This window comes from Homo sapiens, chromosome 2 (genome assembly GCF_000001405.40).
Source record: "Homo sapiens chromosome 2, GRCh38.p14 Primary Assembly".
NCBI classification, from domain to species: domain Eukaryota; kingdom Metazoa; phylum Chordata; class Mammalia; order Primates; family Hominidae; genus Homo; species Homo sapiens.
Window position 1 is genome coordinate 102,018,855 of NC_000002.12, and position 27,407 is coordinate 102,046,261.

The following is a 27,407-nucleotide window of genomic DNA, read 5'->3' on the forward strand; positions in this document are numbered from 1 at the left end:
TTCAATTAAATATGTTCTAAAGTGGTACTTCATGAGCCATGTGGCAATTTCAATTTTATCTGTGTTCTCGTTCGGAGTAAGATTCTGAAGTGACTCAAGGTTATATTTGACTGTTGCAAACGTTGAATAATCATGATTTTGAAAGTGATGTCCCTGAGAACATTGTGTGCTCATTAGGGTGTTTTTAGAAATCCCATTCCGCTCTTTCTATTTCCTGGAGGCCTTGATCTTGAGGATTCTATTCTGCAGAGACCCCAGAGAACCTTGTGTCCATATAAAAAGTGTGGACTCGTTTCCCCTATTTAGTTTTTCTTATAACAGAGATTTTTCTGTTACTGACTCACAAAATTGAAATGCTTTTTAAAGTAATTACTGCAACGTCATCTCTTCTGAGCATTGTTGTCCAGGTCATCATGACGATTTATAGTGCTCTTCCCAGATACTTCCTAAGGCCTGAAGGTAGCAGTCAGGACATAAACATATTTGTATTTTAGATGGCTTACTTTGTCAAAGAAGAGTTCGTCTCTTTTTTTTCCCCTTGGACAAATATGCTCTAACTATTGTAGTTAACCAAATCTAGCAATTTTATTTGTTTATATGTTAACAAATTCCTTCCCCTAATAATACAGTCAAACGTATGCCCAAAGTACAAAATTGGCAAAGTAAATACCAGGACAATTCTTGGATTGCAAATCCCACATTGGTTGATAATGATGATGTAATTCATAGCCTTTGAGATGTATATTGGTATAATGTCAACTTAAAAAAACATTTTCCCTTAAGGATTCTCTTCTTTTGGATAAAGACAATGAGAAATTTCTAAGTGTGAGGGGGACCACTCACTTACTCGTACACGATGTGGCCCTGGAAGATGCTGGCTATTACCGCTGTGTCCTGACATTTGCCCATGAAGGCCAGCAATACAACATCACTAGGAGTATTGAGCTACGCATCAAGAGTAAGTACTTGCCATTGAGGCACCTATCTATCCTGGTTCAATAACAAGCATGCAGAGAACAAATGACGGTGCACGTAGAATTCCTTGCAGGTCTTTGGAATGAAGGATAACGGAAAACAGATCCATCAGCTCTCCTGAAGCATCAGGTTAATAAGACGTGTGTGATACTTTGAAAGGTATAAATCAGGGTGTTGTTCTGAGAACAGGTGAACGAATTGGGAAGGTTATAGGGTTGCAAGATGAAGGCTAAAACACACCACTCAAGAGAGTCAAACAGTGGCTTCTGTAGAAGGTACCCTTGGAAAGTGTCCTGTGAAGCTTTGCACCTATAGGGCTAGAGGTCACCACATGCTGTAACTTTATGTTCAATTTTAGGATACTTCAATTTTATTGGGTATTCTAACCAGAGAGCTAGCCTTGCACATCCAGTGGAAATTGCCTTTTATTTGTCTTCCCTAAGGTGGGTCTAGCTGCCCTTAATAGCAATATTTCAAATAGTCAGAGCTGCCATTGATTAAAAGGAGTTTCGTTTGAAAATGCTGTTTTGAGCAGTATTGGCTATTGTTTCACATTTGTTCAACATTTACTCCGTACCAACTGTGTGCCGGACATGGAGACAGGTGTAACCATGTGTAAATCCTGGACTTTGCCTTGGAGAGTGGGCCACACTTCTTTGTTTTTTATACTGAATAATGATCACAACTGGGGTCTTTTGAGGGGATTTCAGAGAGCTTCAGAGACACGCTAAGTTTAAATAATTGGTCTATAAGGGGAAAATATATTTTTCTCACAGAGCATCCAGAGATTCAGTTGCACCGCATTTTCCCACGGACTGAGGTGTCCTGATTGTGTTTGTTTTACAGTCCTGTGAGGATTCGTTCATATCAGCTCCTTGCTTCTGGACAGGCCACTGACTCAGGTCTCCTGAGGCTTTCCGTGGACCGGCACGGTCCTGTCTCTGCGATACTGTGCATGAACACTAGGGGGCAGCCGCCCTACATGCCTGTCTGTGTTGTGATCCTCCCAGGATCTCAGTGGCTCTCAAGGGGTGGTCCTGGGCCAGCAGCGCCTCATCACCTGGGTACTCAACAGACATGCAAATCTCGGGTCCCGTGGAGACCTACTGATTGAAACTGGAGTCTGGGGGCTGTCATCTGTGTCTCACAAGCCCCCGGGTGATGCTGGGGACCCTCAAGTCTAAGAAGCACTGAGATCCTGGAGGCTTCTTTCTCTCCCTGGATGCCCCAGCTCCATAGGGCAGCGCGTGACTTGGAGGAGGGGAGGAAAAGGCGTCTGGCCGTGGTCGAAAAGCCGTCTGCCCCTCAGGCTGTCCTGCCATGCTGTCTAATGTGTACTCATGTCAGGATTTCAAAATGCTGTTTCGTGGAAGTGAGGATGATGAGGCCCGTCGTGGAGACAACTCACAGCCCTCACCCCCCAGGTGTCCTTTTTGCTCATTTCAGGGGCCTCGTTTCTTTCTTTCTTTTCTTTTCTTTTTTTTTTTTTTTTTGGTTTTTTTTTGAGGCGGAGTCTCGCTCTGCCACCCAGGCTGGAGTGCAATGGCGCGATCTCGGCTCACTGCGACCTCTACCTCCCGGGTTCAAGCGATTATCCTGTCTCAGCCTCCTGAGTAGCTGGGATTACAGGCTTACGCCACCAAGCCCAGCTAATTTTTGTATTTTTAGTAGAGACAGGGGTTCACCATGTTGGTCAGGCTGGTCTCGAACTCCTGACCTGTTGATCCACCTGCCTCGGCCTCCCAAAGTGCCGGGATTACAGGCGTGAGCCACTGCACCCGGCCACCTCCTTTCTTTACGTTGGCTCTAATCCCTTGGAGATCCACTTCTGCCTCTCCAGAGAGTTTATCTCTTCAATTAACAAGGCCTCTGTGGCCGAGGCCAGGTTACACACTAGCCTTCCAAATAGGTGTTTCTTGAGCCCTGTGCCTTTTCTAGAAGAACTGAGTCTTGAGTATTTTGTGGCAGGCACTTTGGAGAGGTGGAGAAGGTATTTTAGGTCAGGTCAAGTTTCGGGGAAAATCTATCTCGTGGACCTCATAAACATGATTGTTTTCAGGAAGTCTGGGAGGGAAATGGTTAATTGTTTATCATAGAGCAAGGACTGAAGACCTCCTGTCAGCGGAATGTGTGTTTGGCTGTGGCCTCTTCCAGTAATTGCTCTGCTGGGAAAGTCATTGGCCAAGGATGCTCGATTTTGTAGAGAGCCTGTTTCCTTTGCCAGACAAAGCCTGACTCTCATAATGACTGGCCATACTGGAAAGGATAACTTAGTTGATTAGCCAAACAATGACTTGAACCACAGCGTCAAATGAAGGCTTTCCTAACGGAATCTCTTTTCCTTACATCTTTCTCAGAAAAAAAAGAAGAGACCATTCCTGTGATCATTTCCCCCCTCAAGACCATATCAGCTTCTCTGGGTAAGGCCCACAAGGACCATGCATTCCACGCACCTGTGGGGGTGCCTGGTATCCCAATGCAGGGGGCTTGGGACCCTTGCGTCTGCTGATCATACCTGCTCCTTGGGTGCAATGTGCCTGGGTGGAGACCTTAGAACTCCAGTGTGTGAGGCTGGAATAACAAGTGTGAGGAAATATTTCCCTTTGGCCAGTTTGGTTAGAAATGGCATAATCTGAAAACAGGTATACTTTGCTTCATGCAAAGCCTACCTATAAAAATCTGAATGTGAAAATCTGAACGTTCTGGCAGCAGTTATCAACTGCATGAGAAGATGAACAGCATGAACCCCAGGCAGAGCCAGCACCCTCAGTGTATTTAAAATAATTCACATCACCAAAACTTGGCTGGCGCTCTGCCTCTCTCTAAGACTCCATTTGTAAAGTGGGCTCAGCTGTGGTCAGTTTCTTGTTGCCAGAAGAGCTGGTAAGCTGGTTGAATGGTGCCATGAAAATGACCAATGGGGCTTTCTGCTTTTCACTCCATGTGGTACAGTCCATCCTGGCCAGCACAGGTCCACACTAGTGGCCAGTGAGGGTACGTAAGTGTACTGTACTAACAACCAACTGATGCTAGTGGTGGGGCGGAATTGATGTTTATTGAGGATCCACTATGTCCAATGGGATCCCATTCAATCTCAACATAGACCCTGTAGGTTTTATTCTCTCAATTTTCCAAAAGGAAAAAGCCACCCAGGGCATCACGTTGGCTCAGTGGAGGCCAAAAGGCCATGCTCAGAGTCAGGCTGGAGTTCAGATTCAGGTCTGTGTGCCTATAAAACCTGCATCCTTTTATGTGTTTGTTTCTGGGTAGTGTTTTTGTAGGTCTGTTACTCATTTATGAAACCCTGGCTGCACAGTCTTTTAAAAAACAATTTATTTGCTTTTTCCTTTTGTTTAGTGCTGGTTTAAATTTTAAATTTGAATTGGAGGCCATAGAGGAGGAGGGCTTTTGTGCAGTTGCTGGGACTGCTGGCTGGCACTTGGGTTGCCACTGCCACAGTGCAGTCCCCATGGCTGCAGCTCTAGGAACAACCACCTGGAAATCTGGGGCAATGGGCACATGGGTGATACCTACTGGAGCCCCAGTGTTCTGGCTCCCTGGGGCTTCCCAGCCAAGTTCCAGGCCCAGTTCCCAATCAGTTGCTTTGGATGCACTGGAATGGGTGGTGGGGCCACGTGACACTGATTAGTAGGTTGTTACGGCTGAGGAAGATCTTTAAGGTCATAGGAGTGGCATAGGATGGAGAACGGCTGGCATTCTCAACCCGTGGTGGGGCCAGGTGCATTAAAAGACACACCACAGGGAGCCATATCACCCACGAGGAAAAAACAAGTGAGAAGGTTTTCTTCTTCTTTTCCTTCTACTCTTCTTTGTGAATGAAAAAAAAAATAATTTCCTATGATTGAGGCAGGGGGACCCAGTACATCACACTGCACAACTGCAGAGGGCACCATCTATAGAAAACACAGAGTTTTTGGCTGGGCGTGGTGGCTCATGGCTGTAATCCCAGCACTTTGGGAGGCCGAGGCAGGTGGATCACGAGGTTAGGAGATCGAGACCATCCTGGCTAACACGGTGAAACCCCATCTCTACTAAAAAATACAAAAAAAATTAGCCGGGCGTGGTGGCGGGTGCCCGGGTCCCAGCTCCTCGGGGCGCCGAGGCAGGAGAATGGCGTGAACCGGGGAGGCGGAGCTTGCAGTGAGCCGAGATCGCCCCACCGCACTCCAGCCTGGGCGACAGAGCGAGACTCCATCTCAAAAACAAAACAAAACAAAACAAAAAAAACACGAGTTTTTAAAGAAGGGTTGATCCCCAGTCAGAGTCATCTGGGAATGGAGAGTTCCCAGGAGAAACATTAGAGCCAAGACCAGCCTCAGGCAAAGAGAAAGAATCCACACATTGATCTGGATTTTCTGAGGTAACTGAAGTGAGGGGCAGAGGAAGTCGGCTTGAATTTAGCATGTCCCGTGGGAGCGCAGGGGCCCTGGTGAAGCCATTTAACTTCAGGTGCCTCTTGGTTTTTGCCTGCCATGAAGACCAGTTGTAGGAACCAGAGGTACTTCGTAAACAGTAAAGCTCTGTGTGAACAGAATCATTTGAGAAAACTAAATTTTCTACCAAGGAAAGAATTGGGTGGTGAGGGGTGTTTGAGAAGCCGAGGAGGGACTCAGGGCTCAGGTTTGCTGGTGGGTGGGAGGTGCTGGTTCTGCAGTTGACGTGCTGTGCCTTGCCATCCACAGGGTCAAGACTGACAATCCCGTGTAAGGTGTTTCTGGGAACCGGCACACCCTTAACCACCATGCTGTGGTGGACGGCCAATGACACCCACATAGAGAGCGCCTACCCGGGAGGCCGCGTGACCGAGGGGCCACGCCAGTAAGTGGGCCAGGGTCTTCTGTTGAGAACTCTGTGGGTTTCGCTCTTCCTTTTGGAGACAGTTATCACTATGACCCACATACCACATTAAAAGTTACTTTTTTTGATTCCAAACTGTTGGATGTTTAGAATTTAAAAAATTGTATTTTGCTAAAAATTATCTTGAGAATCAAACTTTCTCTGTAAATACTTAAAAGTTGAGTTGCAGTTGACATGTTGGTATTGATGTTGCATTTTGTAGCTGTTTCATTAAACATTGATCCTTTTATTTTCGCAAGTTAAAAAATATTTTGGAGTTCATATCTTTCCATTTTCCACTCTGCAACCTGACTATCAAACATTTTCATAAACCCTTAAAAAGACCCTGAGACCTAGCCACAGTATCTATAGTACCTCTTCTGTTTCTCAGGGAGCTGTGGGCTGCCACAATCTCTAAGGGAGGTTAATAATTAAAAAAAAGAAAGAATTCAGTTCTCATAAGCAGTCATCTCTAGAAAATGTTTTCTTACTCTGAGACTCGAACAATCAGACCTTTTGTAAGTGGGAACTTGTTGCCTGTGAGGGAGACCATTCAACATTCCAAATTGTAACTCTTTTTAAAATTACAGTTTTGATACTTTGAATTAGCCTGAGCTTTTGCTTGCCAAATGGTTGTGTTTTTTGAAAGACTTATCACAAAAGATCTTTCTGGATGTAATTTAGTGGATAAAAACTATGTGTGGGTAGCACAATCATGTGCTTGCAAGTTCTCATTGCAAAAGACCTGGCCACAACTAAATGCCCATCTCAGCTTACTCATATGATCCACTTACTTAAAGGAACCTATATTCCCCCTACAAATAGAACAAAAATATTCCTAGTGGATCCACTCATCTGTGTTTTTATTCACACTAACAGTTAGTAGTGAGGTGTCTACAGATTCCTCTAACACTATAAATGGCAGCTATCCTGGCCACAGCCATTCCCCTGGGCTGTCTGCAGGTTTCCAGAGTGAGAGTCAGCAGTAGAGATGAGAAGAGACGGCACCACTGAGGGCTGGAGTCCTGGAAACTCCCTGCCCTTCAATATACAAGTGATTTAATGGTGAGGGACTCAAGTTTCCTCAAACTAGACGTTTCTGTTCCCATGACTGTTTTTTTTTGTTGTTGTTGTTCATTAAGAGACTTAAAAGATGAACTTCCCCATTATCTAACCCTGTAGTGTAACAACTGTTTGATGCCAGTGACCGCCAACTTCAGTGACACTAAGGCCTTCAGGGACAGGCTTAGAAACTGTCCCAAATGAATCACAAGTATGGTGGCAAGAGCTCCTAACTTTATGAAACTTGAAAACAATAAAAGCGCAATGGGTACTTCTAAAGGAGAGTGTTTAGATGTCTACATTGTGAAAGACAAGCTTGCATTCGATACAATCATAATTAAGTGAATGTTTTTTTAACTCAGGGAATATTCAGAAAATAATGAGAACTACATTGAAGTGCCATTGATTTTTGATCCTGTCACAAGAGAGGATTTGCACATGGATTTTAAATGTGTTGTCCATAATACCCTGAGTTTTCAGACACTACGCACCACAGTCAAGGAAGGTATGTATGTATTTTGGGGAGCACTATAGGAGAATATAACATGTTGAATGTTCCATGGATACTAGACAAATCTACTTGTTCTCCAAATGATTCCATAGAAATTCCCTTGCATTGTCTGCTAGTGGAGAGCTGAAAAGAAACCTCCCATTTTTAAAGAGTTTTGGTAGGGTGGAGGCTGGACTTTGGGAGATTATACTCAAATGAAAAATTTAAATAGCAAGCTGATTTTTGGAAAATGGATGAAATGGTTCTACAGTAAACTTCGAAATACTCTGTCTGCATGTGGCTCTGCCTTGGGTCACTAATCAGCTGTCTTCGCATGGCCTCTAGAAGAGGGTGGATTGTTCTTTATCCTGAAGATGAGAAACTTCATCCTCTAAGAGCTGGGGATTGGGAGCTACCCAGGGTTCAGGGCAGCTTTAGGGTCAAAGTCATTATATGACCGGAAATAGGTACAAGGCTACAGCCAAATCAACCCAGTGTTCATTTAAGGACATTTAAAAAGAAGAAGAGGAAAACCCACATTATCATTTTTGATTAAATTGATTTCATATCAATGTTTAATTGTTGAGCAGGAGGGAGAGCTGCCTTGAATGTAGTCTCTGTTGACAGCCTGTAGCTAATGGCAGGCAAGCCAAAGTGATTCCCAGCATCTCAGTGATGGCTCGTGGACAATCTTACAGCAATAACATAAATACAAATTGCTCCAGGTCTCCATGTTTTGCTGGGGAGGCAGCCACAAACACAGTGTAAACTGGAAAGCCAATGATGTGTTCCAGCCTCAGGACAGGGAATGGCACCCAACTTTCCTCCAACTGTGCGCTGTGCACCACCAGCCTCACACTCACCTGAGCCACTGGTCACAAACACAGATCTCAGGACTTACTCCAGATCCACCCTGTCAAATATTCCTAGGGAGAGGCTGCAGCCTGTGACACAAAAAGCTCCTTTCACAGTGAAGTTTGAGAATGAGGGCACACATGTGAAGGGTGGCGTTTCAGATCATTTCCAGATGAGCAGGCTGGGAGAGATGGTGGTTGTACACATTTACCCACAAAAATCAGAATGTTCCCTCTCGGGGTCAGATTAGTGAGCCCAAGGAACCTGTGGTTTGTCTGGCCCTGATGCTGGGAACCTTTAAAATTTTCCATAACATGAGCCTTGTCCCTGCATGTGGCTGGCCGTGACTGATCCAGGGAACACAGGCTGTAAGTCTTTCACCAGGACTGAGAGGTGTATTCAAACAGCTGCCCAGAATATTACAGCTGAACTTATTTCTAATCTTTGTGGGGTTTTAAAATGTGAGAATCCTCTGGAGCAACAGGCTGAGGTCATGTCGATTCCTGGATGACTAAACAGACTGTGATAGATAATAGCTTAAAAATGCAGGATTCTAGTCTCATCAACAATGTGTCTGATAACACTCTGTTCTCACATTTGCTTTTTAACTTTTTATTCAGAGTCTCTTCCTGTATTTCCATAACACAGAGACGCCAAGGAGCAGAACATAAAATAGCTGGACCCAAGCAATCGTGTTGGCCCCTGCAGCTCCATTATTCAAAATTTATTTTCCTTTGCTACTTCCTTTGATCCTCATGACACCCATGCTCATTAGAAAAGGGCAGATTGTTCCTGGCTCTGTCACAGTTGGCCAACTGTGACATAAACAGACAGCATCTTAAACGCACAGTGTCCCACTGTTGGAACAAAGTTAAACCCTCAGCACTTGCCCACTTACCCTACGATGTTTCTAACAGATTTTGCCCTATCACGCTCGTTTCTCTAATGCCACAGACATCACTCTCAAATATCCTCCATGTTGGTGTGAGGGATGTGCTTTCTGAAAATCAATGCACATTTATCAAGAAAAACAAACTCCAATTTCTTTCTTATCTTGTACACCTGCATTGCCCTGTCCTCTTGTACAGTGAGAGACTGTTCAGCTCCTGATGTGACTCTGTTCTTCCCACAGCCTCCTCCACGTTCTCCTGGGGCATTGTGCTGGCCCCACTTTCACTGGCCTTCTTGGTTTTGGGGGGAATATGGATGCACAGACGGTGCAAACACAGAACTGGAAAAGCAGATGGTCTGACTGTGCTATGGCCTCATCATCAAGACTTTCAATCCTATCCCAAGTGAAATAAATGGAATGAAATAATTCAAACACAAACTCCGTACGTCTTCTCTTATGGAAGTGGCTGTGTCTTTTTGAGGGACTCTGTTCTTTGCCTCAGTTGTCTACCAAAGGTGCCACATTTATAGTGGCTTTGTAGTAAAGGACTAAAGTCTTACATTCTGTTTTTTTTTTCCCTAAAAATCAGTGACAACAGTAGATGTGCCTGTGAGTGGGTGTGAGTAGCTGTCTGCTACTTGTGACCTATTTAACAGAATGAGGTGCTCTTAGGCCTGCATGAGAGTGGAAAACATCTACATGAGTTTTGACATTCATTCAACAAAAACATATTATGAGTCTATTTTGACTAGACTCTATGGGAGATGTTGTACATACAGTGATGGTTAAGACATAGTTTGCCTTTCAGGAAGCTGGTTGTTCATTTTGAGACTGAAAAGAATAATTTAGTGCTAAAGCAGAAGAATCAGCAAGAATTGGTGAACTTTTTTGGAAAGGGCTATCCAAAAAATAGCAATTAAAAATACACACATTGGAATGTATTAGTGAACTGAGAATTAGACCCAACTTCATAACAACATGTCTGAAAATAGAAGGAAGGGCATTAAAAGAATTGTAGACAAACTGAATAAAATGTACCCAGAGCCTCTTTCATATCATATACCAAAAATAAAATCCAGATAGATAAATGAGTTCAATTAAAAAAAAAAAAACTCCAATGGCAGGAAAATCAGCACGGCTGGTGACTCCACCTTTCAGGTCTCTGTTCAAATGTGACCTTCCCAGAGGGAAGGTCCCCAGAGAGGACCTTCCTTCCTCTCTGTCCCCTCACCCTGCTTTGTACCATTGTAGCTTTTATCACCACCAGACCTTCCAGTATAGATTTGCTTGTTGATTTTCAATTTATGTTTCCCACCCAAATGGAAGACCCATGAGGTCAGAGAGATTATTTTGGTCCCAGCTGTATTTCCAGTACCTCAAAGCAGGCATTTAATGAATATTTGCAGAATAAATGAAGATGGGATGAACTCTCTCTTGTTCATTACCAAAAGACTTGCAAGAGTAAAGGTGAGTAGGCTTAATTACATTATAATTTCTGCACAACAAAATAACAAAAGCAAGGTTTAGACAAAATTGTGTCAGACAAGTTCAAGGAATGAGTAACTATCATGTGTAGAGTTATTCAAAGTCATAGAAAAGGCATGTGTCTTAGTCTTTTTGGGCTGCTACAACAAAATACCATAACTAGGGTGGCTTGTAAACAACAGAAATTTATTTCTCACAGTTTTGGAGGTTGAGAAGTCCAAGATCAAGGTGCGAGCAGATTTGGTGTCTGGTGAGGGCCCACTTCCTGGCTAATAGACGGCAGCCCTCCTGACTTAATCACCTCCCAAGGGCCACAACTCCTAATACCATTGTATTGGAGGTTAGGGTTTCAACATATGAATTTTGGGAGGACACAAACATTCAGTTTATAGTAGCATCATCACCCTACAGATGAAAAAATGTGAGTAGGGGATTGCAGAAGAGACACACATAAAGGAACTCATGGAAAAATGACACTTTCAGTAAGAACCAGGGGATGTAAATTAGAGCAAATTTGAGATACCAGTGCACTCACACACTATCAAGTGTTTAAAAGTTTTTATGAAACACTCTCACACTTTAATTCAATTTATAATTTGGTGCTGGGAAGAAGAAAGGCAACATGAGCCAAGTCAGTTGGGTGCTGGACCAGCTTGCATCTTCTTGCAAGAGCCCAGGATGTGCCTCTCTTCTTGGCTCTGTTCAGTGATGTCATGTTGGTAGCTTAAAATCTGTGGCCATTGTGGAGTCTTTACACCACAGAAATTGGCAGTTGCCACAAATCAGCACTCTCTTCCCCAGTACATAACAACAAGGTTTGAGAGATGCCCAGTGATACTACTCCTGGGAATTTAGCTTAGGAAATAATTTAATAAAATAAAATCATTAGAGATATAAAATAATTTAATAAAACTTATTACCCCAATGATGAAAAATTATGCAGCAATTATCAATTATAATGATCAATACTATAATGACCAAATTATCAAAATTGTAAGACTTAAATGTTTACAGTGTTAAGGAAATATTATACATTGTTTTGTACAATTTTTATGGTTACAATATTGACATTTGTTTGCATCTAGACAAGGAGAAAACTTAAAAACTTGGACTTTGAAGGCAGACTTTGTGAGTTCAAGTTCAAGCACTGCCACATGGTGCCTCTGTGATCTTGGGCAAATCCTTTAATCTCAAAGTACATCAATTTTCTCATCTGAAAAATGGGGATAATCACTTAGTCCAAATTAACTTAGCTATTTAGCTATATTTTATATTTCCATTTTTCCTATTTTTCTATTTCAACTATAGTAACTGTTTAATAATCAAAAACATAGGAGGAATAGACAGAAATAAAAATTGTTGTACTTGGACTACGTGTTGACAAACCACAGCCTGTGGGCCAAATGCAGCCTGCCCTCTGTTTCTGTGGATTAAGAGTATTAGGAAACAGCCTTGCCTGTTTGTTTGCAGACTGTCTTTGGCCACTTTTGCTCTTTGAAGATAGAGTTGAGTAGTTGAGATGGCAAAACCTAGAATATTTACTATTTGGTCGTTTACAGGAAAAGTTTGCCAATGCCTGGTTTAGGTGAAGGCGGTTTTGAGCAGTTAACTTTTGACCCTCGCTTTTCTATTTTCCTGTTATCATCTCCTCTTTCCTTCTTCTGTTTTCTAAGCATTCAGGGAGGGAGAAGTACGGAGGGGCCGGCAGAGGCCTTTGAACACCTTATTAGATTTTAACCGGAAAGGAGAGGAGAGTGAGGTTTGAGAAGGAGGATTCGGTGAGGACGTTGCACAGGGTTCTTTGACTGCTTCTGCCTTTTCTTTATCTTCAGGCTTGGGGCCACGCGCTTGCATCTCTCTTCCTTCCTCGAACTTCTCCAGTGCTCTCTGGAGTCCCCCGCTTTAGATTCTGGCTGTTTCAGCAATGACCCAGAAAAGGAGCTGACTGCAGCCGGAGGAGAACCACCATCGGCTTTCAGACTCTGCCTTGACCTCACAGGTTACGCATTTCCTCCCCTCCACTATTTCAGAAGTGTGGGGTCACACAGGTAGAAAAGATGCGAGACAATCGGGGAATTTTGAGTGCTGGATTTATGCTAATATTAAGGAATAAGTGTGATATTTGCATTGCTGCATTCAAAAAAGGTTATTATCTAAGAGGCAAACTAAATATTTATTTATTTATTTATTTATTTATTTTTTTGAGATGGAGTCTTGCTCTGTCGTCCAGGCTGGAGTGCAGTGGCGCGATCTCAGCTCGCCGCAAGCTCCGCCTCCCGGGTTCACGCCATTCTCCTGCCTCAGCCTCCCGAGTAGCTGGGACTACAGGCGCCCGCCACCGTGCCTGGCTAATTTTTTTTGTATTTTTAGTAGAGACGGGGTTTCACCGTGGTCTCGATCTCCTGACCTCGTGATCCACCAGCCTCGGCCTCCCAAAGTGCTGGGATTACAGGCGTGAGCCACCGAGCCTGGCTGAGGCAGACTAAATTTTTTATGGGTGATGTGTGAGATTTGCTTCGAAGTTATCCAGTGGTGGATGGGAGAATACATGAAATAAGATTGGCCAAATGTTGATAACTGTTGGCCTTGGTGATGACTGCACCCTGCTTCCTTATATCATTCTTTCTACTTTTGTATATGTTTGAAAACTTCCATAATAAAGAGTAAAATACAATCCAGCAAAAACTCAATACCCGCTAGACAAGAGAATGTGTAGCTCTTACAAGTAATAAAATGCACTACAGTAAAAAACAACATGGAACAATATGGATGAATCTTAGATATATATTATTGAATGAGTCCCAGAAACATTTCTTAGAATGATGTCCTTTTACATAAAGTGAAAACAACTAAAGTTAATATGCTCTCTCTCGAATATGTGAAAGCATCTTCATATATATTCACACACACGGTTAAAATGTAGTTTTTGTCATATATATGCTCTTAAATATAGATGTGTGTGTGTGTGTGTGTGTTTGTTTGGATAGTGATTACATCAGGGTTGGGATGGATTAGGAAAACATAAACTTCATTAAGTTCTAGATCTCATGTTAGGTAGTAGACTGTGATTGTTTACTTTATTATTAAACAAACAGATTAAAAAAAAACACAAGCTATTCAGGGACCAATATAGAATCTGTGTCTTGAACCAAGGATTATGACTAACCTAATTCTGTGTCCCTAAGTCCAATTTGAACACACAAACAGATGGACAAGTGAAACAATGTGGTTTCTTTTCTTAAAGTGGCCTATCTCCTCTATTTTTTGTTGATTCTGTTGTTTTAACTTTCTGAAGGTGAATTTTTTCACCCCCAACCCTACAAAGGCTGGGGAGAGGGGGTGATAAATAGTTTTTGGAAACCTCACACTTCCATGCACTGCCCACAGGAAAAACCCACGTCTTATGTAATAAATGCCACTTCTGCAAGAACTAAGGATGAGAGCAGACATCAACAACAGAAGCCAAGAATAATTTATGAGCTAAAAAACAAATGTGATCTCTCAAGTATTTTGAATGCTATGGGAATATATAGGGACTCTTTCACAGAAAGGGTGGGATGTTTGTTTCTTGTAAGTTCCTCAAGGCAGGAGCCTTCTCGTTCCTTGATGCACCCCAGCACCGGGCACGGTGTCTTGCTGCGGCACAGGCATTTAAGAAGTGTCTGCAGAATGGATACAGCGTGTGTCACTTGGACTTTTCCAGCCTGTGTGAGCAAATGGGTCTTATCAGTGGGACTCAGCTAAGTTTCTCTGCTCCTGTCTCTACACTCAACTCTCATTGGTTTTTTCCATGATGTCCTGCCAATAGTTCACTTGGACACACAAAGGTGCTTTGTGTTTTGTGGTTGCTTTCCTGTTCTTGCGGTCCTCACCCATTGGCATCTCTGCCCATGCCACCCATCAGGGCTACTCGTTACTGCTACTGGGCTCCAAGAAGGCATTGCCACCAGTGGAGAAGCCATCCAGACGCCACCTGGGCTGTAGCCTCTGCCAGCTTCCGTGCTGGAGCCAGCTTGTGCACTCCTGAAAGCTCCTCCTTTCTTGGCTCATGGGTTCAGCCAGTCCTCAAAGCAGGGGTGGTGGGCTAGAAAGCTCCCTCCCACAGGGCTCAGGCACCAGCACATTCTCCTCCTCCTTGGCATGCCTGCAAAACCCACTTCCTCATTCTTCAGAAAAGCAAAGCAAAACAAAACCTCCTACAAAGGAACTCCCAGAACCCACTGCCCAGTGGTTTTTCAGAAACTGCCCAGACAGCTACCAGACCCCTGGTGGAGGCCGAGCTTCAGGGGCCAGGAACTACTACTCAGCCAGCTTCCAGGACAAGGGGAGAGAAAGCTTTAGATAAAAAAGAGTGGGAGAAATAAAGCAAGAATGAAGGAGGAGAAACCAACATCTAAATGTCTACATTGTGCAAGATTTTACATGTTTTGCTCAATTGAATCCTCAAAAAAAAAAAAAAAAAAATCCACCAGGCAAAGATTATAATTCACATTTTAGAGGTAAGGAAACTGAAGCTCACCTAATTTAAAAATTACCTCCTAGAGAGTGTGGTTTAGATGTGCAGCAGCAATGGGCTTCTTAATACCGAATCCCAGGATTCGACAGCTGAGAAACAGCTGGCCCATGCAGGGGCTGGTTTGAGTCAAGGTTACAGTCAGGAGCAGAGCAAATATTTGCTTTTCTAGGGGAAGACTAGCTACCACAAAGAGTTCATCTCCCGAAACCGGTAGAAGGTACATCTGGAATCTGGGGGACCAGGGGGACTGTAATAAGGATTCCTTCACAGGGAAGGAAGAATCAGAAGTAGGAACCGAGTGTCCTCTCCTACAGTATTTCCCAGCTTTTTGTTCTCTTAGCCTGTGGCCTGTGACCAATCAAGGCGTCACTGTCCTACTGGATGGAGGTGAGGCGTCCAGCGTGCAGTCCTGCCGCTGGGTCTGAGGCTACTCTCTCAGGAAATAAGAGTGTGAGTCCCTGGATCCTTCTGAGCCCACTGCAGGGACAATGTGGATTTAGCCCCCAGAAAGCACAGAAACAGCTAAGAACAGTCTGTGAATTAAATTAGTCTCAAAGCCATACTATACCTCAGGCTGACTGTTCACCTTGTTATATTTCCCACCCCAAATTGCTGTTTTCAAATATAGGCTTTATTATTCAGGTTTGGTGAGGCCAACAGATCAGGAGACAATAGCCATTGAAAATACAGTGGTATCCCCCAGATCCCAGCAGGAGGGGCACACCACACCATGGCGGTTGGGAGGGTGCCCAGAGAAGCACTAGGGCCGATCAGGAGGCTGAGGGAGTGAGGGGAAGGTGTGGGCGAGAGCTCTTCCGATGGTTTCTGTGGGAAGGAGTGGGTGAGGCAGGGTAGGCAGGCTTAGGATTGGCTGGTTTGAATGGTTTCCTTGGGCTCTTGGTGCATGGGCTGTCCCTCACTGGGTGTGGATAGTGACCCTGAGGGTGAGAGTTCCATAAAAGAGGTGGTTGGGGTGTGGCTCTGGATTGGTCGATTTGCATTTGAAAAGCATGTTGCAGAAGTAGGCAAGTTGTTTACTATCTCTAGGAATTGGCTAAACCAGGGAAAGGCCCAGGTATCAAAGCAACAAGGTCCCACGTACCAAAGCATCAGAAACACATGGTTAATACAACTGGGACAGCCAAGTGCAAAGGGGTTGCCGGAAAAACTCCAATAGGCCTGCGCACTGGGGTGGAGACTTGGGAAGTTCAAGCCTTTTGCGGCGGGGAGGAGCCTGGCTCGTCCTCTTCCTGGGTGGAACCAGGGATTCAATCTGCGAGGCGGGAAGCACACTAGCAGTGCTCTGCCTTTGCGGAGGGTCCCTGTTTCTCTTTTTTCCCCCCTTTTTGCCCAATAAATTCCACTTGTCTCACCCTTCAAAGTATCTGCAAGCCTAATTTCTCATGGCCATGTGACAAGAACCTGGCTGTTAGCTGAACTAAGGACAAAGGTCCTACAACACAATTACATCCTGCCTTGTCTGCTACAGCTCATCAGAAGCTCTGCACAGAAATTAAGTGGCCAAAAGTAAACAGCCAACAAAATAAATATGCTCCCAATTTTATTTTATTTTATTCTCTCAAGAATACCAAATATCCTTTATGAAGCATGGTAAAACAACTGCCATAAAACCTTAGAAGCGTTAGCAGCAAAAGCTTAGTGCCGCATAGAAATGTAGTCTTACATTTGTAGCCTGGGCAATATCTAAAAAGGATGTACACTAAGCCTCAAAAATTTTAAAATTAAAGCCTGAGTTTCTCCACAGCTCCTTCTTGCTCCATCCCAGCAAAGAGGCTGCTCCATCCAGGAGAGGGGACTGCAGTCAAGGCTGTCTTCCGTCTTCTGCAAGGAAGGGTGTGGCTCCTTAGGGCATTGCATTGGCCTCGCATGTCCCCTTTTAATGTGTCCCAGGCATTTATACAAGATCAGCACAGCCCTGACCCCACCTGCAATGAATTTTAAGACAAGCCATTCTCTGGTCCCTGGAGCAGTTTTTCTGGACAAATGTTGCTCCCAGGAATCCATACCCAGCAGTAACAGTGACCACAGCAGCAGTTCGGAGATATCAGGGGAAAGAATGGGGGATGCAGGTGGACCTCAGTCCAGTATCATCAGCATCCCTCTGCTGATTAGAGCCACAGGGTGGCCCAGTATCCTCGTTCCGCAAGCCCTCCAGGACATTCTTACTCCTGCTGTCAGTGGGAGCACCTCGATTTCTATGGTTAGGTCTAGAACCCATGACTTGGGAATGTTAGCTCTCTTTGGCCAATTATTCCAGCAGGAATTAGTGACAGTACCACCTTTGTCACATCTAGGGGAAATTTCACCGTGCATCTTATCTCAGCATTTGGGACCCTGGGCTTTCTTGAATAATCTTCAGGGGTAGCTCCCCAGTCTCCCAGGCTCCAGTCCTTTTTTGGAGACTTTCTTCCCCATCTAGCATATTCGGAGCTTCTCACTGTGTTTTTCCCGTAAGCCCATGATGATTTGGCTTCTGTCTTAGTGACAGAGCTTCCCCACTCTGTTGTCCTCAAGGCGACAGGGACCATGACCTCCTGGTATGGAACTTTCTAGGCCTCTGCACCTTTTCTGAGAAGAGGGCTCTTCCCCAGCCGCACTCCAGGTGCAAAATGACCCTCAGCAGATCACTCAAAGTGCTTCCACCCCTGGGTGAGAATGACCTTCTTGCCATGTACTCCTCAGTATGCAATTCTCTTCCTCGGCTTTTCAATGTTCAAGATGCTGTATGGTGTTTCTGTTGCATAGATATTTTTTGGAAGTGGAGAGGTATGCCTCGAGTGACTGTGTACCAGTTAAGCGTGGGTCCTCAGCGGCAGACTGGGATCATCTAGAGAGGTGAAACAACAATGCCACTGGTGTCTGGACCCATGCCCAGGGCCTCTGCTGTAAGTGATTGGGGTCCTGGGGGATTCTAATGAGTGGCATGGGCTGGAACCCCTGGTTTGACTTCTTTTCTTTCTAACACCTGTGGTCTGGTACTCCCGGCCCTTTGCTTTTTGTACCAGAAATTCATTCATTCACTTACTGCTTTATCCTAGCATACTCCTCTAGATTTTTGTCTCATGTGGGTCTTCCTTGTGGGAGCTTTAAAATCAGTAAATTTAGACTTGCCAAAACACCCTCTGTTTCTGATTTTAAAGACAAGCAAGGCAAAGTCCCTGTCCAACACCTCCACGTCCATCTAGGAAGTTCAGTACTTATTCCTGGCGTGTCCGTGTCCCAGTGTTTTCCCCCAGTGGTCTGTTTAACTATCCATGTGTTCCCCTGGATCCCTCAGAGGAATCCAGCCTGATCGATGCTGTTTGGAAAGCCGAGGTCTACAGGTTTCCCAATGTCAAAGACATGTCAAATGAATGAATGGATGAAATACGTTGGTGCTTGGTATCCGTCGGCGGTGGGATGTTCTCACAGCTAACAAGGAAGGTCTTCCCTGTAATCTAAGGAGAAGATTTGACTAGTAGCCCAGGAATCATTCCCTCCTGCTCAGTTACCAGTCTTCTTCCTCTTTAAGATTGCCTGCTGCCAGGCTGTCAATGGCACTCCAGCCTTGAGCTCCTTTATCTCACTGGGAAAAGAACCCTCAAGTTCTCCCCTTTAGTTTCATCCTTAATGTGTTCCCAATGAAATAGGGGACACTTGGGAGTTTGGTGTGAGCAGAGGGTAACTTTTCCAAGTCATCATGGGCACGGTTCTGTGTTTTCTGCTCTCTGGATTCAGTTTCCTGTTTAAAAGCCTGAAAGAATATCGCTGTTCGGCACGGAGTACTTGCTGAGCTCTGACTAAATACAAGTCTGTGATTAAATTATTTCAGACTCTAATAAAAATATTTTTAGAAGAAAGTCCTTTGGGAATTATGTAGAGTGCTGAGTGCATTTTTCTCGGCAAACACTTGGACCTGCCTTGTCTTTCTGAGTCAGCTTTTCCTCAGCTTTGTCCATCCTGGGGAAACTCAGGAGACGTATCTTCAAAGTCAAAAGGCTGGGTTGATTTCAGACACCTCATGGAGATAAAGGATCCCGATAAGACTTCTCATGGTCTGACCAGCGCATTTTGTATATGTATTTCTCCTCTTTCTTCTTCGTTTAACCCTTTAGCTAAAACTTTTCTGTAACACACTTGAAATGTCAATCTTTCAAGGGAGAAAATTTATGAAGGGGTTACCTTCAGCTTCCCTTTTCTCTGCACCCCCATCCCTGAAATACAGACAATCTGGTAGTAGGGTGGGGTGGCTTTGGGAGGGCACGAGTTTCTTGACTTTCTCATGCCAACTGACAATACCTACACCAAAACTTTTAACTAAATCACAATTTTTCTCCAATAGCCCAGCATTTTCTCAATTTCTTCTAGCTTAAAAGCAGATTTTTTTTAAACTTTTATTTTAAATTCAGGGGTACATGTGCAGGTTTGTTACATAGGCAAACTTGTGTCATGGGGGTTTGTTGTAAAGATTATTTCATCACCCAGGTATTAAGCCTAGTACGCATTAGTTATTTTTCCTGATCCTCATCCTCCTCCCATCCTCCACCCTTTGATAGGCCCCATTGTGTGTTGTTCCCCTCTATGTGTTCATGTGTTCTCATCATTGAGCTCCCACTTACAAGTGATAACATGTGGTATTTGGTTTTTTGTTCCTGTGTTAGTTTGCTAAGGATAACGGCCTCCAGCTCCATCCATGTTCCTGCGACGGATATGATCTTGTTCTTTTTTGTGGTTGCATAATTTTCCATGCTGTAAATGTACCACATTTTTTTCAGTCTGTCATTGATGGGTATTTAGGTTGATTCCATGTCTTTGCTGTTGTGAATAGTGTTGCAATGAACATAATGGGTGCATGTATCTTTATAACAGAATGATTTATGCTCCTCTGCGAATGTACCCAATAAAGTGGTTGCTGGGTTGAGTGGTATTTCTGTCTTTAGGTCTTTGAGGAATTGCCATGCAGTCTTCCACAATGATTGAACTAATTTACACTCCTACCAACTGTGTATAAGTATTCCTTTTTCTCCACAACCTCGCCAGCATCTGGTTTTTTTTTTTTTTTTTGAGACAGAGTCTTGCTCTGTCACCTCTGTCGCCCAGGCTGGAGTGCAGTGGCGAGTGGCGCATTCTCGGCTCACTGCAAGCTCCGCCTCCTGGGTTCATGCCATTCTCCTGCCTCAGCCTCCTGAGTAGCTGGGACTACAGGCGCCCGCCACCGTGCTTGGCTTTTTAATAATAGCCATTCTGACTCGTGTGAGATGGTATCTCCTTGTGGTTTTGGTTTGCATTTCTCTAATAGTCAGTGATGTTGAGCTTTTTTCATATGATTGTTGACTGCATGTATATCTTCTTTTGAAAAGTGTCTTTTCATGTCCTTTGTCCACTTTTTATGGGGTTGGTTTTTTCTTGTAAATTTGTTTAAGTTCCTTATAGATGCTGGATATTAGACCTCTGTCAGATGCATAGTTTTCAAAATTTTTCCCCCATTCTATAGATTGTGTGTTTACTCTGTTGATAGTTTCTTTTGCTGTGCAGAAGCTCTTTAGTTTAATTAGATTCAATTTGTCAATTTTTGCTTTTGTTGCAATTGCTTTTAGCATCTTTGTCATAAAATGTTTTCCCATGCCTATATCCTGAATGATATTGCCTAGGTTGTCTTCCAGGGTTTTTGTAGTTTTGGGGTTTACATTTAACTCTTTAAACCATTTTGAGTTAATTTTTGTATATGGTGTAAGGAAGGGGTCCAGTTTTAATTTGCATATGGCTAGCCATTATTCCATCACCATTTATTGAATAAGGAGTCCTTTCTCCATTGCTTGTTTTTGTCAGGTTTGTTGAAGATCAAATAGTTGTAGGTGTATGGTCTTATTTCTGGGTGCTCTATTCTATTCAATTGATCTATGTGTCTGTTTTTGTACCAGTACCATGCGTTTTGGTTGTTGTAGCCCTGTAGTATAGTTCAAAGTTGGGAAGTGTGATGCCTCCAGCTTCGTTCTTTTTGCTTAGGATTGTTTTGGCTATTCAGGCTTTTTTTGGATTCCATATGAATTTTAAAATAGTTTTTTCTAGTTCTGTGAATAATGTCAATGGCAGTTTAATAGGCATAGCATTGAATCTATAAATTGCATTGGACAGTTTGGCCATTTTAATGATATTGATTCTTCTTATCCATGAGCATAGAATGTTTTTCCATTTGTTTGTGTCATCTCTGATTCCTTTCTTTCTTTCTTTCTCCTTTCTTTCCTTCCTTCCTTCTTTCTTTCTTTCTTAGTTTCTTTCTTTTCTTTCTTTCTTCCTTCCTTTCTTTCTTTCTGACAGAGTCTCACTCTGTCCCCCATGCTGGAATGCAGTGTTGCAATCTCTGCTCATTGCAACCTCTGCCTCCCGGGGTCAAGTGATTCTTCTGCCTCAGCCTGCTGAGTAGCTAGGATTACAAGTGCACACCACAATGCCAAGCTAATTTTTATATTTTTGGCAGAGTCAAGATTTCCCCATGTTGACCAGGCTGGTTTCGAACTCCTGACCTCAATTGATCTATCTGCCTCGGCCTCCCAAAGTGCTGGGTTTACAGGTGTGAGCCACCACACCTGGCATCTCTGATGTCCTTGAGCAGTGGTTTGTAGTTCTCCTTTTAGAGATCTTCCACCTCACTGGTCAGCTGTATTCTTGGGCATTTTCGTCTTTTTGTGGCAATTGTGAATGGGAGTTTATGTTGATTTGATTTTCAGCTTGAATGTTGTTGGTGTATGGGGATGCTGGTGATTTTTGCACATTGATTTTTGTATCCTGACATTTTGCTGAATTTGTTTATCAGCTTAAGAAGCTTTTGGGCTGAGGCTATGGGGTTTTCTAGATATTGGATCATGTCATCCACAAATGGATAGTTTGACTTCCTCTCTTTCCATTTGGATGCCCTTCATTTCTTACTCCGTCTGATTGCTCTGGCCAGAATTTCCAATGCTATGTTGAATAGGAGTGGTGACAGAGGGCATCCTTGTGCTGGTTTTCAGGGGGAATGCTTCCAGCTTTTGCCCATTTGGTATGATGTTGGCTGTGGGTTTGTTATATATGCTCTTATTATTTTGAGGTATGTTCCTTCAATACCTAGTTTACTGAGAGTTTTTAACATGAATGGATGTTGAATTTTATTGAAAGCCTTTTCTGCGTCTATGAGATAATCATGTGGTTTTTGTCTTTAGTTCTGTTTATGTGATGTATTGCATTTATTGATTTGCATATGTTGAATCAGCCTTGCATCCCGGGGATAAAGCCTATTCGATCATTGCGGATAAGCTTTTGGACGTGCTGCTGGATTTGGTTTGCCAGTGTTTTGTTGAGAATTTTTGCATTGATAGTCTTCAAGGATATTGGCCTAAAGTTTTCTTTTTTGTTGTATCTCAAAAGCAGATTTCATTTAAAAAATCTATTAAACAGCTATTATGAGATGCTGCACTTGGTGAGGGTTGGGAAAGACACACCAGTGGACAGCACAGTGCTTCCTTCCTCTCCAAAAACTTGTGAAATGAGTGGGCATGACATCATCACAGGACTGGAGGACATCAACAATGTCAGGGTCAGTGCCTCTTTTGGTTTGGCCTTTTCCTCGTGGTCACAAGATGATTGTTGGAGTGTCAGACATAGTGTCTACATTCCTGGCATGCAGAAGGGAAAGCAAAACATCAGTCACGTTTTTACCTGTATCTGGAAGCCCTTCCCTGGGCTCCCTGAAGGCTTGTGCTTATGTTTCATCAACTGGAATTTGCCATATGGGCTTCTCTGTCCCAAGGGAGCCATCCCAGTCTTAAGCACTCAATTTTCTACTATACATTAGTGCAGACTTTTTAAAAGGTTTCTAATTTTCATTAATTACAGTCCCAGCTTCCTACGAACCTAGCAAAATGCTTCAAAGACAGCAGGATGGCCATGCCACATGAGCCTTCAGATGTGTCCCTCTGCTCTGCAACAAGGATCCGTGATCTGGTTCCCAGGCCTGCCTTTCCTTATCTTGGGGCAACTTATTCCCCCAGTGGGGATATTGTTTTAAAGGATAAGGGGCAGCCAGTGCTCCCTGATTTTGGAAAGGAGGTGAATCTGGGGTAAGGCAAAATGTCAGCTCTACATGCAGTACAACAGTCCCAGAGTGCTCAGTCAGCCAAGACCCAGGGTGGGTTGACACTTACATACCTGAGTTCCTGTTGAGCACGTGGCTTATTCTTTTATGCTGAGACTCTCAGAAAGAAAGAAAGGAAGGAAGAAAGAAAGGAGAAGAGAGGAGAGAGGGAGAGAGGAGAAAGAGAGGGAGAAAAAGAAAAAGAAAGATGAGAGCAGAGAAGAAGGAAGAAAGGAAGGAAAAAGGAAGAAGGAAGGAAAAAAAGAGAGTAAGAAAGAAAGGAGAGGGAAGGAGGAAGGAAGAAAGAACAAAAGAAAAAGAAAAAAACAAACAACCAAATAAGCAAAAATATCTAAACTGAATCACAGAGGAGAATGTAGTCAATGCAAGTTACCACAATATGCTGTGGGAACACAGGAGGGGAGAAGTGGTGTCCAGGGTGGCCATGTGTGTCAGTGGTGGAGGGCAAATAGGAAAGAGGACAAGGTCAGTGCATAAATCACAGGTGAAAGAACATCTTGTGTATTCATTCATTCATTCATTCATTCGACAAATAGTAATTTTTCCTTTCTTGGCTAGGGAATACAGACCTGTCCCCTGTCCTGTGGGAGCTTAAATCTCATGAAGAAGACAGACAAAGATAATATAATGACCCAGATAAAATGTAAACTTGTGGAAAGTGTAGGGAAGGAGAGAGCTGTGTTTGCTGTAAGTGGGTATAACCAGGGGATTTCCCCCACCCAGGGAGGTCAGAGAAGGATGTTTAAGGGTGGGTGAGATTTCAACACCTCAGAGGAGGGCGAGATATCCTATTAGGAGAAACAGACTGGGCAGTGAGCAGGGCTGGAAAGGGCTGGCCAGGTGTAGGGAAAGATGAGTGGTCTGGACCCATGAAAATGGCAGGGAATGAATGAGAGACAATGAGGTACGAGGCTCTGCGCCTGGCAGTTTCTATGTTTGGAGTTTATGTTACACTTAGAACAATCCTGTAAGGTAAGAATTCCCTTGGTTTTTGTTCTCCTGGAGGTAGATCCTGAGGTAAAGACTTGGATGCAGGCAATTTATGGGGGAAGTGATTCCAGGAAGCAAGGATAAGGGGGCAGGGAGACTGGCCCATTCTCCCTGCCCAGTCTTAATTGGTGTTTCCATTTAAGGAAACACCATGCTAAGGGTGACTTACGGAGGTCACCTGCCGTGGCTGATGGAGTTCGTGTCCACCAGGACTTTCTCAAAAGTACATACAAGTTCTCCCACAATTTTTTTCTTGAAGGAATGGACATAGCTCAAGAATTAGGGGTTCCTGAGACAACTACTGCAGGTGTTGTATTCATTTTAAAGCCAAGGATCAGAAAATTTCAGTCCCTTGCTTAAATTTACATGGCTGGTAATTGACAGAGCAGGGACTTGAACTTAGGTGGATTGTGATTGCAAAGTTCTTACTCTTACCATCATAATTTGCTGTCCTCTTCCCTATGTATTAAAACATAATTGTCTAATGGATATTAATGTCAATGTTGCTATGATATTTTTTCTAACATTCATTAATTCTTCCAGCCCTAAAGGTGATGTTGAACCTCTGATTCTGCTACAGTACTAAGATTTATTATGTCACTGGAGGGCAGTGAAGATATGATGTGACATGATGTACAGAGCAAACCAACTGGCCCTGTGAGTACTTAATCCAAGCATAACATTGTGAAAGGGATAAAAATAGAGTCTGTGGTGGATTAAAGATGCCCATGAATTCTTTGCTACTTCTTTCATTTAAAAATGGAGTTTAAATCCTCTTTTCCTAAATGCGGGGTGGTCTTAGTGACTTGATTGACCAATAGAATGAGACAGAAGTGACTTTCTGGGACTTCTGGGAATCCCTGCAGCTTGCAACTGGAACTCTTGAATGGAACACTTGCTCTTGGAGTCCTGAGGGGCCATTGAAGGTATCCAACTACTCTGAGGCTCCCATGCTGGAGAGATCCCAGGTAAGTGCTCCAGTTGAGGGTCTCAGCTGACCCCAGTCTTCCAGCTGTCCTTGCCAAGGTGCCAGATGTATGAGAGCCCCTCCAGACCAGACCATCTTTTAGTCCAGTGCCACCAAGTCAACTCTGTTGATGCCACATGGAACAGACGAACCACTCAGCTGTGCCCTGTCCAAATTCCTGACCTAAAAAATTCTGAGGTAAAATAACATATTTTTAATGTTAAACTTCTAAGTTCTGGGCTAGTTACTCAGGAAGGGAGGACTGGAACATGACCACCACTTTCTATTTCCTGTAGTCACTGCAGTATTACTCTTCTTAGCAGACTATGTAGCATGTTTAATGTAGGCTGAAATGTTAGGTTGAAGTTCAGCTGTTTGGACTAAGTTCTGTTATAGACACATTTAGCAATCATTGGAAGTTTGGGAAACTCTCTTTTTCTCTGTTTGTTAGCATGCCTGGAACTTTGAATAATGCATCTGAAGAATCTGCCCGCATAGGTAAAAACATGCTCCCTTCTTGTCATTGAATTTTAAGCTGTGGACACAAGTCTTATGAGTTCATCTATAAACATAAGCATAGAAAGCAGTAGAAGCCACACCTGTGGTGAGGAGCTCTCCATATGGGGTTGGTAAGTAAAGCAATAATCATGGGTATGCTTTCTGAGAGAAAGTATAGCAGAAAGTAGAACAAAATCTTGGGGGAATGCCCACAGTTAAAGAGGCAGGCTTGAAAGGCATAAGAATGATATACTAGACTTTGGGGAATCAGGGGGAAGAGTGGGAGGGTGGAGAGGGAGAAAACACTACACATTGAGTACTGTGTACACTGCTCGGGTGACGGGTGCACCAGAATCTCAGAAATCACTGCTGAAGAACTTATCTATATAACCAAAACTACCTGTTCCCCTAAAACTATTGAAATAGAAAAATAATAAAGAGGCAAGCTTGGAAGGCAAGGGGATGGTTTGCAGAGCTCACATCAAGGATGGGGGAGGGTTTCAGCAGGAGGCATTGGTGTCCAGGTCACAAAGATGTCCAGGATAAGATCATGGCTTACTTGCCTTGCAGGCACCCTCATGATAGTTCCCTGTGACCTCAGTTATAAGTTTGTGTAGTCATATATGTAGTGTTGGGCAAAAAAACTTTTTGTCACTAGTTGTGTTACTGATTTAGTGAGGCATCTTTGGGAGCAAAGCCTTGCCGTGATTTTGTTTTTTATATAACCACAGCCAGCTGTCTCCTGATATGCCCTTATCCACTTGGTGTGTGGGGGAACCACACTACCGAGTCTTTGGTCTATTTTTTACAACTTTTCACAAAGGTTGAGTTATTAGAGCATTCTAGTTCTGATCTTTTTAAATTTTACTTTTTAAAAAAATTTTAAGTTCTGGGATACATGTGCAGAACATGCAGGTTTGTTACATAGGTATACATGTGCCATGGTGGTTTACTGCAGCTATCAACCCTCATCTAGGTTTTAAGCCCCACATGCATTAGTATTTGTCCTAATGCTTTCCTTCCCTTACTCCCCACTCCCCCGACAGACCCCCATGTGTGATGTTCCCCTCACTGTGTCCATGTGTTCTCATAAGACTTGCTCTTGTTCACTTAAAGTTTTAATCTCATGGTCTAGTTCTTTTGATTCACTGCTGTGTGCTTGTGGATGTAGGGGGTTGGCCACTTCACATCCCCTTTTTCTCCCCCGGGCTCACAGCTCTGCTTTGGTTGGTGCTGTGGGTGGGGGAAAGAGAAAGCCCTCAAAGACCCCATGGTGGCTGCCTCTGGCCAGGCTTCTGTCCTCTCCCTTCTGGTGGCGCGGCCTCTCTCTCTTGTCCTGAATAGCCGCAGGGTATACTTGCTGCTTCAAGCCAGGGCTGCTGTCTGGAGGTGGGGGAAGGAGGGCATGGGCTGTTTTCTCGAGGGTGCTAGGGAGAATGGGCTCATTCTCCACAGTTCCCTGGGGTTTTTGACGATGTTAATACCCCCAGTACCTTGATCTTTTCTGGCTGAGGAATCCTCAACATTTTAGACCACTGTCCCGTAGCACACCTCCCATTAAGAAGAAAAGGAGGAAAGGAGGCTTCTCTGAGCTCTCACTACATCCCAGACATCATGGAAAGCCCTTTTACCAACGTCACCTAATCAAGTCCTCTTGATCCTGAAGAAAACAGAGGTTGAGAAGGCAAA

General features: G+C 43.7%; 1 protein-coding gene and 1 long non-coding RNA gene across 13 annotated transcripts in view, besides 2 other annotated features; both read left to right on the top strand.

The window, feature by feature from the left end:
- The window catches only part of IL1R2 (interleukin 1 receptor type 2), a 36,585-nt gene extending 26,895 nt beyond the window's left edge, over positions 1-9,690 (top strand). For 7 of the 12 annotated variants that reach the window (NR_048564.2, XM_006712736.4, NM_004633.4 and 4 more), the window contains exons 5-9: positions 784-958; positions 3,333-3,395; positions 5,679-5,814; positions 7,257-7,399; positions 9,372-9,690. Coding sequence is in view for 10 of the 12 variants with exons in the window: in XM_006712736.4 (XP_006712799.1) it covers positions 784-958; positions 3,333-3,395; positions 5,679-5,814; positions 7,257-7,399; positions 9,372-9,538 (684 nt within the window). In the remaining 2 variants the exon portion in view is untranslated. Of the gene's footprint in view, positions 1-783; positions 959-1,821; positions 2,400-3,332; positions 3,396-5,678; positions 5,973-7,014; positions 7,122-7,256; positions 7,400-9,371 lie in introns of those variants that run through there. The other 5 variants (XR_923024.3, XM_011511808.3, XM_047445800.1 and 2 more) reach the window with 5 other exon arrangements.
- Positions 2,127-2,320: a silencer, noted in NCBI's record as "fragment chr2:102637443-102637636 (GRCh37/hg19 assembly coordinates)". NCBI's record gives its function as "represses an EF-1alpha promoter that drives an FKBP-Casp9 reporter gene in an ReSE screen in HepG2 liver carcinoma cells {active_cell/tissue: HepG2}" and the evidence as "EXISTENCE:reporter gene assay evidence [ECO:0000049][PMID:32094911]".
- Positions 22,563-23,762: an enhancer, noted in NCBI's record as "CDK7 strongly-dependent group 2 enhancer chr2:102657879-102659078 (GRCh37/hg19 assembly coordinates)". NCBI's record gives its function as "activates an origin of replication core promoter dependent on BRD2, BRD4, P300/CBP, MED14 and CDK7 cofactors, with strong dependence on CDK7, by STARR-seq in HCT116 cells {active_cell/tissue: HCT116}" and the evidence as "EXISTENCE:reporter gene assay evidence [ECO:0000049][PMID:35650434]".
- LOC107985926 (uncharacterized) lies at positions 23,572-26,604 on the top strand. Its single transcript, XR_001739615.1, has 3 exons — positions 23,572-24,235; positions 24,797-24,910; positions 25,120-26,604. It is a non-coding gene; the product is annotated as an uncharacterized LOC107985926 (long non-coding RNA).
- The last annotated feature ends 803 nt before the right edge of the window (positions 26,605-27,407 follow it).